Source organism: Homo sapiens, chromosome 2 (assembly GCF_000001405.40).
Source record: "Homo sapiens chromosome 2, GRCh38.p14 Primary Assembly".
Taxonomy (NCBI): domain Eukaryota; kingdom Metazoa; phylum Chordata; class Mammalia; order Primates; family Hominidae; genus Homo; species Homo sapiens.
In genome coordinates, this window is record NC_000002.12 from 172,994,926 (window position 1) to 173,017,360 (window position 22,435).

Consider the following 22,435-nt stretch of genomic DNA (forward strand, 5'->3'; position numbering starts at 1 on the left):
TGTTTAGCTTCCTTTTGGTCTTGTGCGCGCACTATAGTTTTAGCTAACAGCTGCCTTCCAGATAGACTGCATTGGCCACCTCATTCAATACCAGAGGTGCTCCCCTCACCATTTTCACATGCACATATGTTAAAATGTCTGCACATCACTCCCTCAGGCCATGGGTTAAGATCCTGAGATTTAACAATATGTTAAGAGTTACTCTTGGGATCTCAACACACCTCAAAAGTCTCAAACAGGCAAGGAAACCAGAGCTGAATTCTCACTGCTTTCTGAACATTAGACAATTTTATTTTCATTGTTGTTTTTACTTGCCTGTTTGTGTGTGTGTGTGTGTGTGTGTGTGTGTGTGTGTGTGTGTGTGTTTGTATTTTGAGATGGAGTCTTGCTGTCACCCAGGCAGGAGTGCAGTGGTGTGATCTCCGCTCACTGCAGCCTCCGCCTCCCGGGTTCAAGCAATTCTCCTGCCTCAGCCTCCTAACTAGCTGGGACTACAGGCATGTGCCACCACGCCCAGCTAATTTTTTGTATTTTAGTAGAGACGGGGCTTCACCGTGTTGCCCAGGCTGGTTGCGAACTTCTGAGCTCAGGCAATCCGCCCGCCTCGGCCTCCCAAAGTGCTAGGATTACAGACGTGAGCCACTGCGCCTGGCCCCTACTTGCCTGTTATTTTTAAGTGAAATTCCAAGCAGAAAAGCAAAGCCTGAGTTTTGGAAGAGAAGCACTCAGATCATCTGAATGTATTTTGTCTACAGCTCCCACATAGTAGTGTTTTGTCACTGTCTTGAGTATGATTTTGAAACAGTTCACATGCAACTTAAAAAATAAATCCTCCTGTGTTAATTGAAGAACACCATGGAAAGATCTTCTGAAATAATGTCTAATATAACCCCCAGTAATTTATATCTGGCATTGAAATAAATTATAAGGATTTTCTACTGCTGATTTATTTCCCATTCATGATCTACTGGGGTTTGTTTGTTTGCTCATCAGTGTTATGGGGTTTTGTTTGCTTTCTCTCGTTTTATTATTAGCTGAATTTCCAAAGCACATACCAGTGTACAGTTGGGAAAGACAGAGCATTCCAGAAATAGGCGGGGGAATCCAGTGTGGGAAGAAGTTTTGCTATGAGTAACCCATATATGGATAACCTAGCTTACTCTCACTTCCCCTCACCAGCTCCCCCTGCCTGACCTGAACTGCCCTGGGTTTTACATGTTCCTTTTTATTCTCCTTTGGAAAAAAGACTGAAGTTTCTCAGTTCCCAGCCTGCTAAAGCTGCTCTTCAAGAAGTTTACCTTATTTCCATATAGGGAAAAAAGAACAGTGTTTGTAGTAACGACTTCACTTTGTGGGTTTTCTGTTTGTTTGTTTTGTCTTCTTGTGTGACTTTGACAAAGTGTGTGGTCTCTCTTACCATGAAAGGTATATGGTTCCCTGGGATCTCAAATTAAAAAAAAAAAAAACTTAGATAAGTAAAAGTTTTTTTAATGATTTGCCCACTTTTGAAAAATTAATGGCATTTTTGTTTCTTATCCAGGTATACTGTGATGTCAGGAACACCTGAAAAAATTTTAGAGCATTTTCTAGAAACAATACGCCTTGAGGCAACTTTAAATGAAGCAACAGGTATACACATAGAACCGTTTGCATGTCCATTAAATCCATGCATAGCATTGTTTAAAAGTCCTGAATTCATTTGCAGTGTGTATAGCGAAAGCAGTTTGGGAAGGGGATTCTGTGTATTGATATTTGAAAAGCATCTCTGTGTGACCTGACTGGGAACAGTCCTTCTGACTGTCGTCTTCCCTCCCCAATCCTGACTGTTCTCTAGAAATGACTCAGCCTCATTTCTACATACTATGCCTCATCTTCCCTAGGCATCTCTCTCTTAAGTTATTCAAATCCCACCTTCTATAGGCATCTATTGGGTTTATCATACATCCTACCTATTCCCACGAAGGATTTGAAGCTGCCTACATAAAAGGTACAGCCTTGCTCCAGTTGGGAGTAAGATACTTCTCTCTGCAGTTGTTGTAGAGTCCAGCTGCTCTAGAATATAACTAAATGCCACCATTCGTTTGCTAGGGCTGCCCTAATGAACTACCACCAACTGGGTAGCTCAAGCAACAAAATTATATTGTCTTACAGTTCTAGAGGCTAGAAATCCTAGCTGAAGGTGATATTTGGGTTGGTTCCTTTTGAAGGCTGTGAAGGAGAATCTGTTCCATGCCTCTCTCCTAGCCTCCTGTGGTTTGCAGGCTATCTTTGGCATCCTTTGGCTTGTAGATGCATCATCCGGATCTCTGCCCTCATGTTCACACAGCATTCTCCCTGTGACTCTTCACATAGCCTTCCCTCTGTGCCTGTCTGTCTCTGGGTCCAAGGTTACCCCTTTTTATAAGGATGGCAGTCATATTGGATTAAGGCCCTCATTAAGGACCTCACCTTAACTTGACCACATCTGCAAAGACCCTATTTCCAAAGACGATTATATTCTGAGATACTGGAGGTTAGTTCTTCAACATATCTTTTTGGGGGGATACAATTCAACACATAACATCTGCTTACAGTGAGTCAGTCTTGTTACCTAAGACACAGAAATTCTAGGGTGAATAAAACAAATCTCACCAGTGAACTAAGTGTTCAGAGTTATAAAATTGTGTTCCACTTTGGTTACCATCTTGTATATGACTTTGCAACAGCCCACACGCAACGTGTTTTTTTTTTAATCCTATGCTACTGCCTGTCTCTCAGAATAATGTTGTGGGTTAATATTTTAAGCACATTGAGCTCCATAGAAGAGCCTTTCTCACTAAAAGAAGTTCAGAGATTTATCTCAAAAACTTAGTTCAAAATCCATTTCCATAATTGACCTTTGCTATATATTCAAGTTGAAGATATCATTATTATTATTATATACCTCCTAAAGGTATTTTACCACTGAATTCTTATTTTATCTTCTCATTCCAGTTTCTCATTTTATACATAGATTACCTGAGGTTTTTTATGTAGCAAATTAATTAGGGTATAGTAGATATAATCGTCAGGATCACTGGCTCCAGGCCAATTATTCTCAGGTCAATATTTGTTGAGTATCTTGTTGGGCAGACACTAAGCTAGATGCTTTGGACTAGGCAATGTGAACAAGGAATCATTCTCCTGCCTTCAGGAAGCTTATAATCTGTTAGAAGACATAAAGGAATGTGCACATAACTTGAATATAAGGCAGAATGTGGTTAGTGCTTCAGGGACACTGACTAGGTGAGGGATCTAGAAAAGTATCATGGAAAATATAGAGTGGCCCTGAAGGAGGCTGGTAACCAGTAATTAGAGATAGGGACAAAGCCATCCATACTAAGGGATAATATTAGCACTGACCTAGAAATAGACAGGGAAGAGTGAGTGGTCGGATTTTTACTGGACTATTGTATACGTAAGTTGGAAAACGAAGGAAAGGTTTAAGAATTGGGGTATAGATCTTAGAGAGTCTTAAATGTAAAGCCGGCTGGGTGCAGTGGCTCATGCCTGTAATCCCAGCACTTTGGGGGCCAAGGCGGGAGGATCACTGGAGCCCAGGAGTTTGAGGCTACAGTGAGCTATGATCATGCCACTGCACTCCAGCTTGCACAACAACAACAAAAAGGTAGAGCCAAGCACTGGGAAGTGGTTGAAGATGTCTGAGCAAGAAGAACATGATAAGAACTATGCTGGAGAAAAGTTACTCCATATTTAGTATAGAGAAACTGTTGAAGAACCGGTTATGTGAGGATAGCTACCAAGAGCCATATGTAACCTCAAATAAACCAAATTTCCAGGACCATGGGTCAGGAAAAAATGCAGCTGATTTTTTCCCTCTGATTAACTGTTTGCCCAGAATGTGTGATTGCATAATGCAAGAATCAGCATCTTACCTAAGGTATATATTGACTCAAAAAAATATATATTCTGGTACATTAGAGACTGTGGCATCTAAGGAATGAGCTATAAGATCTTTACCACCCATGAAGGGCAAGTATAGCCTTCCTTTCAAGTCACCTCTAAAAGAGATGGAGATTGGATTATTGCTGCTGCTTCTGCTTCTTTTGTTTAGTTTTGTTTTTTTAATTACTGTTCCTTGCAGAGCAGGGCTAACCCATGGGCAGTGTGCCAAGAGTAGCCTGATTATTTCTTCTTCATCAAAAAAATTAAAGCCTAGAAATCAGTGTATTCTAAGGCTGGCGTGTGGGATGTGATTCTTGACCCTTCCATTTTTGATGGTAGAGACTAGGCTAACATCATAATTTAATATTGAACTTCATTTCCTGCAGTTTTTCCTGATATTTTTTTCCTACAAGTAATGTTTATGCCTTGGAGATAAAGAACAAACCAGTATCTTTCTCATAAATCAGAAATACAAATGTGCCTCCCTCCTGTCCTGGACACTAAATAATCCTAGGGTAGGTCCACGAAATTTGTGGATATACCAGAGTAGGAGACCTTTGGCAGTTATAGATTTACAGTACAGTAAGAAAGGTCAGAGTTACCGTGAAAGTTGTTTACATCATAAAAATGCACACTGCTGAATTTGACATTACACTCTCTTAATTTACCAAAAATCTGTTTTCTACCTGAGACCTATTAGTTCTTATATTTTTACTTTTAAAACCAGCATTAGTCATGGAGTGACTTGGTAAATCATCTTCTAGTAGGAAGTGATGTTTTAAATTAGTTCTTAAGCAAATTTTAACCTATAAATTAGATTTCCAGTGTTCATGTTTTTGATGAACTTACATTGGCAAAGTCTGAATCAGTGACTAAATGTTTAACCATGATTCTCATTTAAATATAAGTGATGAGTGTAATCCCAAGCTGTCATCACTCAGTGTCACCAGTCACCTTCAGTCTCATTATACTGAGAAGCAGAGAAGGTGCCAGACAGAAGAGTTGCTACATGTGAGGAGAGAGCCGGAAAGCCACACTGAAATGTGAGCTGAGTGGTTGGCCATGTTAACTGACTCCCTCCCCAGCCTTGGAGCACCCAAGTCAAGTCTCTGCTTTAGCAAACTTTAAACTACTGGATATTACAGCCTCCTGGGTGCATATAAGCAAGTATTACCTACTCTGTTCTCAAGAATATATAAAACATATCAAGATGGTGCTAGATGTTAAGCTCAGGCAAGCCAAAATCCTTTGGTACATTAAAAAAAATATTTTCTTGCAGCCTCTGTCTGACACCTTCTCTGCTTCTTCTCTGGCTCAGTATAACGGGACTGAAGACCTGGTGACATTGAGTTGTGACAGCTTGGTATTACACTCATCAGTTATATTTAAATGACTATGTATAATGGTTAAACCTTTAGTAACTGACTCAGACTTCACCAATAAAATTTCATTAAAAACATGGACAACATTTGGCAATCTAATTTATAGCATTAAAATGTACGTATTTCTCACCATTTTCCATTTAAGATGAGCGTCACAATCTCAGACAGTGTATTTCATGTTTTCCCGGGAAATGTCATGGCATCTTGGGTTCCAAGTTCTGATGGGCATAGTCCTGAGGTTTTTAGGTTTGCCTTCATGAGCTTTCCCATCTGGCTAGCCAGGGCATGTTGTCTGCAATGAAGAACCAGCATCAAATTCAATGATGAAGTAAATGAAGCTTATTTGGGGGACCTGCCTTACTTCCCTTGCCAACCCCCTGCTTCCTTACCTACAAAATAGTTTCACATATAGGACAGTCACCATTTGAATCCACCAGCTTCTGTTTTGTTAGCCTTTGTTTTGCTCTAGTTGCTGCTCACAGCCTTAATCTTGTTTTCTTTCTTTCTTTTCTTTCTTTCTTTTTTTTTTTTTTTTGCTGCTTCTTTCTCCCCTCACCAATTCTCTGCTCTTACCACGTCCTGATTCTGTAATTCTATTGTCCTCCTACCTTTCATTGCTTCTTTTGGAAATAGGAGGTGAAAAAGACATAAAAGAGAAAGGATTTTGAAAAAACAAATACGGTATAGACAAAGAAACGACCATGTCTTCGTTCTGCATGTATGGTACTGCCCACATGTGACCCTTTAAGTACACAGATTTTAAAATCTTTGGTGGCTAAGGTACCCAGTGCCGTTTGTACAAGGCTGTCTCTCTTTAAAATATTATACTTTTTGTCCATTGTCATAAGAAACTGATTTTCATCTCAATCTCTGTCAACACCATTATTTATATGAAGTGCTTCCATGTAAAGTAAACTCATGCCCCAAACCAATGTGTTAGAACCAATGACTAAGAACAAGTGAATGGATACTCTTGCTTTCCTAAAGATTTCCACAAGAACCTAATTTCCTTTTCTGTTTTTTTCCCCTTCCAGATTCTGTTTTAAATGACTTTATTATGATGCACTGTGTTTTTATGCCAAATACCCAGCTTTGCCCGGCACTGGTGGCCCAATATCCTTTTATTGTGATTGTAAGTCCCTATTCCCTCGAAGACAACCCCCCCTATCGAGGGCCATTCTTATCTCATCTTCTGCAGGTAAGTCATGGCCCAGGCAGAGTTGTGCATTCCACCCTCATCACACTGAAATGTGTTTTCCCACATTTCCCACAGTTTTCCCCTGTACAGACTCTAGCTCTGCCTGGCAGAGGTCTGCTGTGCCATGTTTAAGGATTTCCTCCTTGTTACCTGTATTGGGCCATTCTTTCATTGCTATAAAGAAATACCCGAGGCTGGGTAATTTATAAGAAAAGAGGTTTAATTGACTGGCAGTTCTGCTAGGAAGTATCGTGCCAGCCTCTGTTTCTGGGGAGGACTTGGGGAAGTTACAATTGTGGCTGAAGGTGAAGGGGGAGCAGGAGCGAGGTGGGGGAGGTGGCAAACACTTTTAAACGACCAGATCTCATGAGAATTCACTATCTCAAGGACAGCACCAAGACACGAGGGGTCCACCCCCATGAACCAAACACCTCCCACCAGGCCCACCTCCAGCATTGAGGATTACATTTCAACATGAGATATGGGCAGGGACAAACATCCAAACTGTACCATTATCTGTGCAGAGAAGTGTGAACCAGCTTACCACAGGAAGGTGATGCTGGCAAAAAAAAAAAAAAAAAAAAAATCCATTGCCTGGGAGGCAGGCTAGAAAGGGTTATGGAGAAGAACCTGGGAGTATTAGCAGGAATGGTTCCCTAACCTCAGAGACAGACTGTTCCCTGGCAGGGTGGACTGTGGTCGGCTTGTGTTCCTCCTCCGAGCTATGGTATTAAATTGCTAAGCTGCTGAGATAAATACAAGTTATCACTGTAGGATAACTTTCTTTTCCCATTCATCCTCGTCTATCCTCTCCTCTAGATACCAAAATTTCTTTCTTTGTTACTACTTTTTATTATCATCTTACTGACTTAAAGACCCAAAATTTGAAACTCCAGTGACAATTCCTCTCTATAGCTTGAAGGCCAAGTTTATTTGGGACAGCTTTTCAACAGTGTTTGGAATGGCCCAGTTGATGCTGGTATGTAGCACAGAGCAAACATTCTCAGAAAATGGGAGTGGAATAAAAGAAGTGGGTATTATTAATAAGCTTCACACTCAATTTTGGGAGCATGTGAAAGTATATTCTAAGATTTTGTTTTATTTTTAGAACAACAAAAATTTAGACCCCAAATCACTTTGGCCCTTTTGAGCAGTTAAATATATTGAAGGAGAATGACTCTTTTATTCTTTCTTTTTTTTTTTTTTTAGGAATTCAGTGAATGTTGGCATGTTTTCCTCATTCAAGATTATAATTACCCTACCTGATTCTCATTTTCTTGTTCACTCATAATTCTCTTTGAAGTAAACAATGTATGAGGACAGGAGATTTGAGTTGAAGGTGCAACTCAGAGGCAGCTTCAAGAGGGAGATTTGTGTGTTTATTTGCCTGGAAACTGTTTTACCGAGTAATGATGGCTTAATGAGACTTACATACATTATATATTTTTTCTGGCACATACTCAATTTTTCTCGAGTAAAATGAACAAATTCAGGATGTCTGTGCTCTTTTAACTCCATACGCACTAATCATTATAGACCTTTGAGATTTGCTGGAAGGAAAAATAAAATCCACCATTGAGTTTAGACTTGGTTTTTTTTAGCAGATAAGCCTAAGGCAAACAAAACTCAAGGGCGAGTCAGCGAGTTCAGCGGGCCAAGGCCCGGCATCTTTACAAGTCCAAGCCCCAAACACTGCGCTTGTCTTTTTTTTTTTCAGATTCTAACTTCTTCGTGTATTAGCTTGTTCCCCTTCAAGGGTTGACTGAGAACATTCAAATCACTAACTTCTCTTTTTAAAATAGCGCTCTGGAGAGAAGGTCCGTTCCATGCCCAGGTAGGGAGGAGGGGGAAAAATGATACTGGCGGGCAGGGAGAGGGGAAGGCAAGAAAGCAAACAGGCGTGGAAGAGCTGTGACGTCAAATCTGACTTCTTTTGTCTGTAGACGGGGGAATCCAGGGTGACTGGGTATAATCTGTATTATCTAGGTCCCTCAGACCACCTGGCTCATATCTGGCCCTGTGGGAACTTAGATTCTCTTCACTGTTCTATTTTGAATCAGCTCTGTCTGTGTCAGGTGCATGCTAAGAGCATTGACCAATATTATACCACTCTATCCTGGCAGGATTCTATTGGGTTAGTATTAGCTTTGTGTTACAAATCAGGGTCCTGAAGTTACCCCCAGCCCCCACAAAAAAACAAAAAAGGAGTGGCTTGCCCAGGGCAAATAGCTGAGTTCTCCAGATGATTCCAAACCTGGAGTTTGCCTTTTTTTTTTCTCTCTCTCTCTTCACAACTTATTTATTTGAAAGCTTGTTTAAATTTTAATGATTCTGTAACCTTTAATTAGAGTTTAAGAACATTTCAAGACACTATATTGCATCATAAACTGCTTAACAGAACACCTGCAAGCAACAGGGATGTATAATGCAAACTTGAACAAGTGGTTTAACCCCTATGTTTTTAACGTGGGATATTAGGGATAGTAAAATACTTAACTATGTTTCATTAGTCAGTTGCTTTAGTGGAGTATTTTTAAAGTGCTTAACATCTGGAACTTTTCATAGCAGCCCTATGAAGAAGTCAGTATTTTTACTGCTATTTTTCTAAATCAATAAACTAGAATAATGAAAACTTATGAATTGCTCAGAGAAAGGTAATTACTAGCAGAGAAAAGATTTGAGCCCTGAGCTACTGACACGTATTTCTGTTCTTAATCCACATTGTGTGTCTCTTCCAGTTTTGCTTTTACCATGGAGAAAGATAGTAGAACTCTGCTGAACATTAATATATCAGGCCTTTTATGTGCTAATGAGAGAGACTCTCTATTCATTAGACACAGTTTGGACATGATTTGACCCGATGAATACAAGTACTTTATAATGAGTTTGAAAATCATATTTGTTCAATTTCTATACTTTTCATCTCCAGGTTCTTTAATCCTTTTTTAAATCTGCATTTAAAATTGAGTTCAATTTTCCTTTAGTCTTCAAAAGAAAATTAAAACCACCTGTATATAACCCTATAACCTCTCAGGTGTACTATTGCTAACCATTTTGTGTATATCCTTCCAGTCTTTTTTTCTATACATATAGATATATGTTTTTAAATGTAAGAATGAGATCATACTGTAAATAATTTTGTATACCTTTTAATTAAGCAATATTTTGTGACTATCTTTTTATGTCATTATTTTTCTATGCCATTTTTCTAAATATAGATAGTTGTCATCCTTAAAAATAAAACATTCTCATTACAAAAAATTTTAATTACCACAAAAGGAGAAGAGAGCAAAGTTCACCTGGCATCTCACCACCATTAATAAATTTGTTTTTAAAATTTTAGAATTTATATATACATTTTTATGTTCATAAGATTTTATATAAATTAAATAATGTTACATGTGCTTTTTGGTAATATGCTGTTTTTCACTTGGTGGTATATTGTGAATATCTTTCCAAACTAATATATATATAGATAAAACTGCATCATCTTTTTTTTCTTCTAGATGTTTCCATAAACATTTACTGACTACTGGAAATGTGTCACATAGAGTACTGGGCAACAAGGGGGCAAAGATATGTGAGAAAGACACATTATCATTTTTAATGACTATTATATTAATAGATATGTCATAATTATTTTCTCAGCCTCTACCTATTGGATATTTAGATTATTTCCACGGTTTTTTTCTTTTTTTTTTGCTATAACAAACACAATGGAGTGAATCAGCATCCTTCCAGCTAAATCTTTGCTCATGTATATGAAAATGTACACACTTTAAATTCCTAAAAATAGGCAAAGAATATGTAGTATGTTAATGCTTCTGATGTGTATTCCCAAATTACTCTCCTATTGTCTCAATTTAGTGCTTTGTGATTAAACTCTGCCATATTCTTGTTTGTACAACTCCAGGCTGGCCTTCAGTTTAGTAAGTGATCACAACGAAGTCAATACTATTTTGAATTTTAATAACTCTCTTTGATTCAGAGTATTTTCACATTATTTACTTTATCTTTCCAACACCAGTTCTCCAAATGTAAAGCAAAAAAGTCTGGTATATTATTTTTGTTGTTGTTGTTGTTGTTTTGTGTTTTTTTTTTTTTTTTTTTTTGAGACAGAGTCTTGCTCTGTCACCAGGCTGGAGTGTAGTATCGCAATCTTGGCTCACTGCAACCTCCGCCTCCTGGGTTCAAGCAATTCTCCTGCCTCAGCCTCCCGAGTAGCTGGAACTACAGGCACGCACCACCACACCCAGCTAATTTTTTTATTTTTAGTAGAGATGGAGTTTCACCATGTTGGCCAGGATGGCCTCGACCTCTTGACCTCGTGATCTGCCTGCCTTGGCCTCCCAAAGTGCTGGGATTACAGGCATGAGCCACCATGCCTGGTATTTATTTCATTTCACATATAGGAGAAATCAAGGTACAGGGAGGTCTAATAACTGCCCGAGATCCTGCATATACTGGTAGACATTTGGAGGAAGTCCGTGTAGCACTGATGTAATGGACATTGTGGTTGATTTGCCAACATTCATGCCTTATTACTCGGTATTCTAGCCACTCGTAGTAATTAGCCTCACTTGCCAAAGACTGGTTCTGCAACGCCAGACTCTAGCTAGACTGGGCCAATGGAATTCAAAGAGAGGCTTCCTGGGCTTTTGGGTGAAAACCTTTTTAACATTTAGGAGAAAAAAACAGGAAGCCTATAACTCCAATTGCCAGCAGCAGCTATCTTACAACCATGATGGGAATGAACCCCAAGATAAAGCTGAAATGAGGAGACAGGAAAAACAGGGGTCTGTGATAACATCATTAGCATTTGACTGGTCCTGAAGCTTACTCTGCCAATAGATTATCTTTTTATGTCAATGAATGTAGGTGTTTGTTGTTTAGGACAGATTCTTACTGCAGCTAAAAGAATCTTAAGTATGAATGGCTGATATTTAAACTTACAGAAATTTTAAAAAGCAATAATTTTGGACAGTTTTTTTTGTTAGTATACTAATTTTCTTTAGCTTAGTATTCAACACAAATTTTGTGCTTTTGGCCTGGAAATAATGAGTTTAGTTTCTTGAATTAAGAAGAAAAAAATATAGAACATGGATTTGCCACTAAGTTTTAGCTAAATCCACCTTTTCTGTGTTTCATCCCTGTATAGAAGCAAACACAACAGCTTCCCTCACTGAAAAATTAGGGTCCCTGTCATAAAAATCTTTGTGAAATTGATCTGGAGATGTTCTCTTTATAAGTTGACTTGGGTTTTATAAGTGGAACATTTATCAAAATCTGCTTTTCTTTTTGATGAAAGATTCACATAATAGCAGCAGGTTCATATTCTTTAAATGAAGCCAAGTTTTTAGGAACATTTTTTAGATTTCTAAGAAAAACTTTCAACTTAAATTTTGTTGAAACCAGATTTTGTCATCATAGTCCCCATCTGATTCTGAAAAGTGTTTGATCCATATGTCACCGTCAGAGGAATTTGCTTCTGCAGATATGCAATTTGAGTTTGTTTCCATGAGGAAGACTTTGTTTGGTGATGTTATGAACATGATATGCTTTTTGGGAAAAAAATGACTGTCATCAGATATGCTAAAAAATATTTCATATACATGTTCTCGGCCTCATATCAACACTATGTACTCTTTTAGTCTTGTTTTTCACAATAGGGAAAGTGAGCTTGAGCAGCTAGGTAATTGGCCCCTAGCTACCTAGCTAGTAAATGTTAGAACAAGATTTGAACCCAAGCAGTGTATTGCATTAGGGCACGTCCTAACTGCTGTGCTATGAGTACAAGCCCTTGGCTTGAGACTTAAAAGGAGAATAGCCAGGAACTAGAGACTTCTAAAAACACAGAGGATTCTGAAAATCAGTGGGAAAAATATTCTGAGCAAGAAAATGGGAGATATGTAAAGAAATTGATGGTACAGAAGGCGCTCCTATGAGCTCAAAGTTAGTAGGTACACACAAACAAAGGAGCAGCCTGTGTGGATAGGAGTAACATCACAGACTTAAACCCAGAAATGCCAGGTCTTATGAAAAATTCCACAACAGTCCATTGAAAATATTTTAAATGACTTCCAGAGAAGAATCAGTAATAACATTGGTGGCTAAGATTTACTGAATACTTAATATGTTTCAGATACATGTTTTACCTGTATTATCTCATTTCATCCTTGACAGCAATCTTATGAAGTTTACTGATGAGGAAACCAAGGCTCTAAATGGTCAATTAACTTACCAAAGATCATACAGTTTTTATATAAGTAGGGAAGCCAGGATGGGACCTAAGTAGTGTAATTTCAGAACTTGCATTTTATGAACATGCCATATGAAGGAAGAAATAGACGCAGTGGTCAGAATGTCAGGCTGCTCCACAAAGACAAGAAGCCCAGATTATAGTAAAAAAAAGCAAAAGCTCTGAAGTAAAAAGACCTGTGTTTAAGACCTGTGTCCTATAAGCTATATTACTCAGCAATTATGCTTAACCTCTCCAAGCCCCTTCTGTAAAATAGGGGTAATTATATGATACGGTCTGGCTCTATGTCCCCACCCAAATCTCATCTCGAATTGTAATCTGAATTTTAATCCCCATGTGTTGGGGGCAGAACTGTGTGGGAGGTGATTAGATCGGGTGTGGCCCCCCCATGCTGTTCTCGTGATAGTGAGTGAGTTCTCATGAGATCTGATGGTTTTATAAGGGGCATTTCCCACCTTCACTTGGCACTTCTCCTTCTTGGTGCCATGTGAAGGACATGATGGTTCCCCTTCCACCATGATTGTAAGTTTCCTGAGGCCTCCCCAGCCCTGTGGAACTCTTTCCTTTATAAATTATCCTAGAGTTGAGCAGTTCTTTACAGCAGTGTGAGAATGGACTAATACATTATACTTGCCCTACCCACTTTACCAGGTTGTTGTGAAAATCAAATGAGGTTATGTGTGTGAACATACGTTATAAACCTTAAAGTCCCATATATATGTTGCTGTTATTATTATACCATCAGGAGAGGAATATGGCATGTTATAAAGAATATACAAAAGCTTTGTCTTGTCAGTGGGCAGATGACCCCCAAAGTTTGTTTTCAGCTGCAAGCAGAGATCTTGTATGCAAAGCAGGGTTTTAAAAAACAACAACATTGAAGAGTATCAGTTTGAATGTTGTTAAGTGTTTTATAAATAGCTGCATAATTAGCATGTACTTACTGCAAAAAGTATACATAATATTTTATTCCCTGTTGTAGGCTGTAATGAATCTGCTGCCTCTACATCCTGGGAGGTTTTCACTTACTTTCCCCATGATAATTTTAATACATGGAACCATTATTAGCTGAATTAAGAATAAGTAAATGAGCAGTTAAAAAAAAGTACAGAAAAATTACAGGTGCCTGTGGTGAGTAAGATAATAACTAGGTAAAAATATATGAAATAATTACAGTGTTTGAACGGCAGAGCCGGCATGAGGAAAATGACTCAATGGAATATTAAGCCTGATGTTGGCAGGGTAGAAAAACTGTAGCCTACACTGTGGCCTTCACCTCTTCTGATTCTCAGCCCTAAAGCCTCACTGCAAACAGATCCAATCTGCTCTCAGTCACATGTACACAATGCTGAAGGAGGTGGTTCAGTTCCGAGAAGATTTAGTCACTCTGAAAGTTTGTCATCCTGTAGATTAAATACCCAATAACTGAAAGATTCTATTTAAAAGATGTACCAGATGTTTTACAATTAAATTCTTTATGAATTTATTTAGAATGTACCTCTGATCTGTATTTGACATCTTGACAAGATGGGATTCCGGGTAACTTAATTAAAGGCTCTTAAATAGCTGTGATATTTTTAAAGGTTTTTTGTTTTTTTAGAAAAGTGCATTAGATACAGCATTCCAAACAGTGCAAATAAATTATCTGTAATCAGTTGATTAAAAAATATTGAAGGCTTTTGTGTGCCCAGTCTTTAGCTAGAAAGTGCAGGAATTAACAGTGAGTTTACGACCTCGTTCCTTCTGTTAAGGATTTTGATTTAATGCTTCCAGATGGTGAGAAATACTTTATTACAGTTTAAGTATTCCTAATCTGAAAATCCAAAATCCAAAATGCTCCAAAATTCGAAGTTTTTTTAGCTCTCATACCAGTAGGTATAATGCAAACATTCCAAAATCCAAAAAAAAAATCTGAAATCCAAAACCACTTCTGGTCCCAAGCCTTTGGGAAAAGAGATACTCAACTGTGTAAGCAAAACTTCAAGTTGGAATTTGAATGATCAGATTTAACAGTGTCTGCTCAGTCGCAGTGAGCCCCTGCTTTCCTAATTGACAGGTATTAAACTATAGCAGATGGGATCTCGTTCAGGTATTAACGATTTCTGTGCCTCTCTATCAGATTATGAAGGCTGTAATAGTTAACTCTTGATTTTCTGCATGTGCTTTGTTATCAGGATTTGGGGGATCAATTTCTACATCTCAGATGGATTTTCCTATTTCCCAACAAACTTTGAAGTCATCTGACTCTGCTGTATAATCTATGTTTGCATAAAGAAAGTAATGTTAACATCAGACAAAACACAACAACATAGGTAAAAAGAGTACTGGGGAGGAAAATAAGAGAACTGAGTTCTAGTTCCAAGAATTCCTTTGATAAATTTGGAAAAATCACTTAAACTCATTCTGCCTCAGTTTTCTTACCTCTAAGGTGATGGAGTTGAAGGAAATGTAATCAAAGGGCTCTTGAAACAGAGATCCTGTGATTCCATGACTTACCTGAAATCAACTCAAATGTGTCAGTGATAAGTTTGGCCACTTAAATTATATGGCCTTTCCTTAATGGTGTTTAAAATACTAATTCAGTAAGTAATTTTAGATTGCCTTACAGACTTTTAAAAAACTAGAACTTTATGAGATATAGGAACCATGTTGTCTTTCTGCATCTCTTTCCCTATGAGTTCAGGCAGCCATATTGCTTCTTTCCTGGACCCAACTGTCATATCATGAGTCATGGCCTTATTCAATAAAAGCACTTCTTGATCATGCATTATTCCAATTTTAGCCAGAGACGGCTTCTTCAACCTTCCTGATGTGTCTGAATTTATGAACATGCTGTATTTGAAATGTTACTCTTTTTAGATTGCACTTTTGACATCATATTGAGACAAGGGAACTAGTAGGATATTCTTTATTCCTTGGCTGCTACCTGAAGGGAATATAGTTTTTCCCCCTTCCTACCTTTTTTGTAGGAGTTAAATAAAAGCTAAAAATTACAAACTTTCTAAAAGCCTGGGGAGATTGTTATGGGAATGAATAGAAACATCAGCATCTGATCTGTAACCATTTCAGGTATAATCAATTGTATACAAAGTTCTCTCTGTGTTTCTTAAGAACCTGATTCAACAGACATTTCAGAAGGGGAACCCTATGTGTTGCCTCTGGAGGAGCAGAATCCTTTAGCAATGCCTGGATTCAGCTATAAAAGAAGTATCACCCCCACCCTCACTTTAGTAAATAAACATCCATGAGGGGACAAATGAGACTTTGTGAAATAAGTCAGCGCTTCCTTTTATTTTCCCAGGGGTAAAAATACTGAACTTTCGTGAGAAAAGGGAGAAAGCCTTTCCCAGTCCCTCCGGATTTGGTCAATTCTATCTCCCTAGAGGCTGTGGGGTTCTTCATCAAAGACAAGGGGTGCTCAGCCCTGGTGACTAAACATGCTGAATCAGCTGCGGGAACCTTGGAACTTCAGCGCGCGCGCGCACACACACACACACACACACACACACACACACACACACGGAATCTCTTTCCCATTAGGCTTTTTGCTTTCCAGATGCATTTATTCTTAATAATTTCATGAACCCAAGCACTAAGGTCTAGTTGCTATAGCTGCTGGTTAGGATAGTGGGGGTGGGAATAGTGGAAAGAGCCCTGTCTGAATTTGCAAGCCCTGCCATTTATTCACTCAACAACCTTGGCCAGATCTCTTCTCTCTGAATCTCCTTTTCCCCACCGGTAAATATTTCCTCCTCAGGTTTGTAGAAAGCATCATTTGATAGCATAAGAATATTGACTTATTTTATGAATTGTAAAGCTCTATACACATGTTATCATAACAAGTAGGAAAGAATCTTTCCTCTCTCTCTCTCTCCCCCCACTCCTCCTTTCTCTCTTACACATGTGAATACCTCCTTTCCAACATGTTGTCCAATGTAATATTTCAGATGAATAGGACTGTGCCCATTGTATCACCAGAACCTAGCATGGTGCTTTACTCAAAGTAGTCGGTTAATTAATAATTAGTGAATCAATTGGATCAATTTGAATAGTTTCTTTGCCTAAGTACTTGTAAAGCATTTTGATGTATTTTCTCTGAAAAGCATATTAATTCATTTGAAAATATATTTATTTCTTAAAAACCACATTAGCAGACTCCGTCTCAAAAAAAAAAAAACCACATTAGCACCTTAATTGTCCTATCTTGGGGTTATTTTTCTAAATTGAGGCTAAGTGTTCACCACTCTATTACTACCAGCTCAGTAAAAGCTTCCCTTTCCTCTCTATGCTGTTTCCATCTTTGAGTGATTCAAAATATGCTCATGTTGCATGTGTAGTGAAATATTTTTAAGATTGTAGTTTATAGAGTAACTTAGGGCACAGTGTGACATTCTTTTAAATTGGCATGATCTGAGAGAGAATTAAATTTGCTCATTTTTCACAGTACAAGGCCATCAGAAAGGTTGTCTTTCACAGGCACTATCACTTAGACTTAGAAGAGGGACTAGAGGGAAGAAGCCTAGCCTCAGGTACCCGGTGAGGAACACGCATGGTCCATAGTGGCATCAGGATATTTGGGACAGCAGTCTAGGGAGCGAGCCCAGCCTAATGGGAGCTTTGACACATACCGTACTCAGAATTCAGAATCTCCACTGACTCTTACATTTATAGGGGTTGGCATTCCTCAGCCCACACCCCTACTCCCCACCTTGGCCATTCTTACTTTCTCCATTTGGCTCCTATGCCATGGAAATGAAAAAGATAGCACCTGCCAAAGCCTGATGTCATCCAAGTTTCTGCACAAACACAAGATACCATAAAACTAAACCAAAGAAAGCACAGTGGCAACGTAGCATTGTATTTTCATTATGTTAGTTTGTGGCACCTATCTGATTCTCCTTCGGTTCACCTTGCCTTAGCGTTATTAAATGCGGTAGCTGAAAGAGAATTTGGAAATGATTTCTTCTCACCTCCTCATTTCATGGAGAGTAAATGGAAGTCTACAGTGGCTAAGTGACTTACACAATATCACATAGCTAAATGGTGGCAGCTAGAGGACTTGAACCCAGATCCTCCCACTCTCGGGTGAACCAGTACATATTTTTCAATCAGTCAAGACTTTCCTATTTGGTACCTACCATGCATCTGACTATGCTCCTACGTGCCATTAAAAAATGGTCATAAAATATAATGTCCAGCATTGCAACTCTTTGGAAAGAAAAACTCAGTTATAAATGCATGCAAGCAAGAGACCAAAGAGTTAATCAGAAAAGAAATAATTTTCACATAAAGCGATCTTTCTTCCTTTCTTCATTGTGAGCTGAGAGAGGATTGTAGCAATACAGGTTGAGCAATTTTCTTTTTTATGAATCTCGTGCTCAATTTATGAAAGCCATTTTGCAACCCATTTACATGCAGTAAACCTTTGCCTTAAAGTTCTGTCATTTACCTTGATCATGATTATTTATAGTCCTTTTAGACAAGGCTCTTTACTGGTTTAGCTCTCAAGCACAGCACTGTCACAAGCCAGTTTTCTACGTCTTTCAAGGCAGGGTAGGAAGCTAAGACAGGGCCAGTCTTGTAGCTCGCTGTGAGGAATGGGGGCTTTGGGTAATGGGAAGAACACTAGTTGGCATCAGGAGTCTTGCATTCGCAACCTCTGCACTCTCACTCTGTAATCCTGGCCATTTATGCTTCTTTAGTTTCAGTTTGTTCACTTATAGAAATGGAGCGACACTTTCATCACAAGGCTATAAAGTGGAGTTGAAGTGAAGTACTTTGTGTGCAAGTTATATTGTAAATAGTGAAGAGTAAGTTGTTTTATGAACTAATTATCTATAATATGAACTATAAATCATTGAAAAAGGAATGGTGTGTCTAACCTAAAATATTTCTTGATTACCTGTGATGTTGTGCCTCCTGTAGAGCATACAAGAATGGACCAGGGACCTTTACTCTTGGCACATAGGAGACTCTCAATCAGTACTTGTTGCATTAATGAATAAATACAGTTTCTGGGTGAAAGTCAGTATCCTAGGCGTAGTGTAGAATACAGGACAAATGACCATCATCCCAAGCCTCAAGGTGCTTACAATTAAGATGGTAGCCATAAATGTGCAAAGAGCCAGTAAGGTAAGTCATGGTTCTACACAAGAGAAGAAGATATGGTGTAAAAATGTGTCTGAGGCCCTCACCAGAGAATTGGTACAGCAGGAGCCTTTCCTCTTCCTACCTCTGGGTGAGTTTATCTACCTCCAGCCTCTCTTGCCCACCCATGCACTCTTTGTATCAGCCATGGTCCCAGCAGGACTAGATGCCCTGCTGGGCATTCAGTTTTACTGAAATGCATGTAACAAAGGGGATTACAGAGATTCGGGCAGAATTTTGGAAACCAACAACGGGTGGAAATGCACCCAGAGAGAAGCAATGGCAAGAAACATTACCACCCAGAGTAGCAAAGGGCAAGGCAGATCCTGGCAGAGAATGACAGCTAGAGCTAGACACAAGAATCCTTGTCCACACCAAGTCCAGGAGGAGTCTGTGAAAGTCTAATCCCTTGGGCAACTATCAGGCCAGAGTCAGCAGGAGTAAACAAGGAATTGCATGCATTCGGCACAGACACTTTCTGTGGGGTTTTTCATGAGGGCCTAGGGGAGGAATTCTATCCATCTAAAAGCCTGGCTTTCTGAAGCTGGGATCTGTCACTCTTTACCTTTGAAAGTAGCATGTGAAATGAGTGTGAAATGGCTCAATTTCTTCCTTGACTCCTCGGCACCTACCACGCACAGCCTTCACAAGGTACAGAACAGGAGAAAATGGATTATGCCCTCAACAATAAGAGGCGAGTCATCCGCCTGGTTCTACAGTGGGCTGCCATGTATGGAGACCTCCTGCAAGAGGATGACGTGTCTATGGCCTTCCTGGAGGTAGGCAGGGGTCATCTCTTCCAAGAATATACTGTTGTCCTGCAATACAGGGACCTACTTATAGGCTCAGCAGCTTCCCTGGAGAGACCGTAATTGCAAATGCTAGACTTTGTGAACACATTCATTCATCAGAAAGGAACTACAGAAAAAGTAAGGAAAAAATTTACCCATTATTCTGCCATTCTGACTCCCTAATGGGTAGCATTTTCATGTATTTTCATCTAGTCTCTTTTTCTTTGTATGTTTTATCTTGTAGTCACGTAGCACCCATCATTCTGCAGGCTGCTTTTTCCATTTATTTGATATAAGGATTTTTCTGTCAGTACAGTCCTTATAATAAAAATTTATTTACATCTCCTGAAGTAATCAAAAAAATATCTAATGACCATTGAGTAGCCATGTCACAGATATATTTATGTGTTCCCTTATTGTTGAGTGTTCACATCATTTCCAGTTTTCACCTTCCTAGAATAGTAGTACGGTAAAAAGTCTTGTGCAAGTGATTCTGTCCTTGATTACCTTCCTAGAAATGGGATTACTAGATCAAATGGTAGATATTTTTGAGTGGAGTGGAGCAGATCATTTATTTAGGAATTGCTAGAACTGGAAATGGTAGGCTGTGAAAGTGGTTCATAAACACTGTTGAAAGCTGCACTTCCCCGTTCCTTCCCGTAGCTCTAGCCCCAAATTACAGCACTGATTCTGACATTTAAGCTCAATTAGTCGCTCTCCCCTCCAAAATTTGGATGAAGACCTGACTTCTGTTCAGGCAAAAGGCAATGTTACTTCCGTTTCAAACTTTTTCAGTCTGTGTTCTAAAATTATAAATTATCCAAAAGAAACATACACCGTCTCTCCTTTCTATTCATATCATTTCACAGCCAGAGGTGCGAGGCAGTGAGGAAAGATGGACCGAGAGCATCCCTCCAAGCTGAGGAATGAAGTATTTTGAAAATGCGAGGAATGGCGGTAGCTTGGGGTCATACATTGACTCATGGCCTCTACCCGCTGAGTACAGGACCATTTTGTAGATGAACTAAAGTGGTGGTGTAGCTGGCACTGCCATGGTTCTCACCTTCTGCTGCAGAGCAGGCACACCTACAGCTGCAGGGTCAGGACAGTTCCCAGAAGGGCATCAGAGAGTCCTGAGTTGGTGGCACAAACTCATCATAAATTCGCTACAGTGCTGAAGACCATGCTGCATCTTACCACCAACCATGACCCAGAATGAGTGACACCTAGTCAATAAACAATACATACCAAAATAATGTGAAAACGAACATTAAAATTCCCCTGAGAAAAATGAACTAAAAAAAGCACTCTTTTGTGGACTCCAAAATGACCCATTTCAAAACATTGGCTTTCATATAAATATCATATAAACAGTTCACCTGCAATTTACTTTGAATTGAATTTTTATTGTTGTAAAATAGATATCTAATATAAATTTTCCCATTGTAACCATTTTTAGGTGTATAGTTCAGTGGCATTCATTTCATTTCTGATATCCGTGCAGTCATTGATTGCCACTATTTCCAAAATTTTTTCTCATGGCCAATTTTGAACTTAGACATAGTGTAACATTTTCTTCTTTGTTCTTCCTCCAGTCCATGAAGCCATGGTCTGGAGATGCTGGTGAAGCAGATGACATAGGGACACATCTTTATTGCTCTTGACAGAATCATGTGCCTTTTGCAGTTCTTGTTAAAAGCCTGTGACTTTTGCCAATTACAGGAGTTTTATGTATCTGTATCAGATGATGCCCGGATGATTGCTGCCCTCAAGGAGCAACTGCCAGAGTTGGAGAAGATTGTCAAGCAAATGTAAGGAAGGGCTTGACTGTGGGGGTGTGCTTTCATCAAGTAAATCTCAAAAAGTCCTTTGCCCACAAGAAAGGTTAAAGCTGGTCTTTCCATAGCCATGCCCCGCTTGATTTGATTTAAGCAGACTGGGCTGAGGGCATAGGTGGTGCAGTAAGGCCAGAGGAACAGAAGGACTGAGATTCTGTTCATTCTGTGCTAGAGGGCTGCCAAAAGATAGCCTGGGAAAGAAAAGATCCTCCTGGGTGGAGTCCAACTCAATAAACCTGGGTCCCTTAGGTTCAAGGCAGTGAATCTGGCAATAAAATGGCCAGCGGCATTTAAAGAAAGTTTGAGGGCAACTACTTATATGGAAAATTCACTAACTGCTGCCAAAGCTGTTGGTGGTGAATATTTGTGTCCTCTCAATGAACCAGAAGGTTTTCACATGCTATTACTTGAACTATAGATTAAATGCAGTATCAGAGAGTGAGTGTGCTGCTAGATAGACTTTGAAAGCTAGAAATCCTGGCTTTGAACATCGGTTCTGCCAGGAATCTGCCTGTGACAAGAGCTGATATCTTTGCTGTCTACCCTTCTGCTTTGATCTATTACTATTAAAATGAGGAAGCTCATATTGTCTCCTGAAAGGATTCTGTGATTGTGATTTCATTTTCTAACATAAGATTAGTTATATACAAATAAGGCAATTTAATAGTAGCAATGGTATTAAATAATGTGCTTTCTCTACTTCTCGTAGCTCAGAAGATGCAAAGGCACCACAAAAGAAGGTAGGTGGCATGAACTTGCATTCTCTGTCTGTGTCCTGTAGAATTACAATTCCCCAGAAATATTATATTGCAGTATACATAAAAGTGATTTCTTTTTTGTAGACGTGAAATATATTGTCTTCATTTCTTGACTCTGCTTGCTTCTCAGATGTGTCT

General features: G+C 39.0%; 1 protein-coding gene across 28 annotated transcripts in view; it reads left to right on the forward strand.

Moving 5' to 3' along the window:
- RAPGEF4 (Rap guanine nucleotide exchange factor 4) overlaps positions 1–22,435 on the forward strand; it is a 317,576-nt gene that overhangs the window by 259,608 nt on the left and 35,533 nt on the right. For all 28 annotated transcript variants that reach the window (NR_164739.1, NR_164740.1, NR_164741.1 and 25 more), the window contains 5 exons: positions 1,541–1,629; positions 6,341–6,419; positions 19,539–19,689; positions 21,424–21,512; positions 22,249–22,279. Coding sequence is in view for 25 of the 28 variants with exons in the window: in XM_047443030.1 (XP_047298986.1) it covers positions 1,541–1,629; positions 6,341–6,419; positions 19,539–19,689; positions 21,424–21,512; positions 22,249–22,279 (439 nt within the window). In the remaining 3 variants the exon portion in view is untranslated. The remainder of the gene's footprint in view (positions 1–1,540; positions 1,630–6,340; positions 6,420–19,538; positions 19,690–21,423; positions 21,513–22,248; positions 22,280–22,435) is intronic.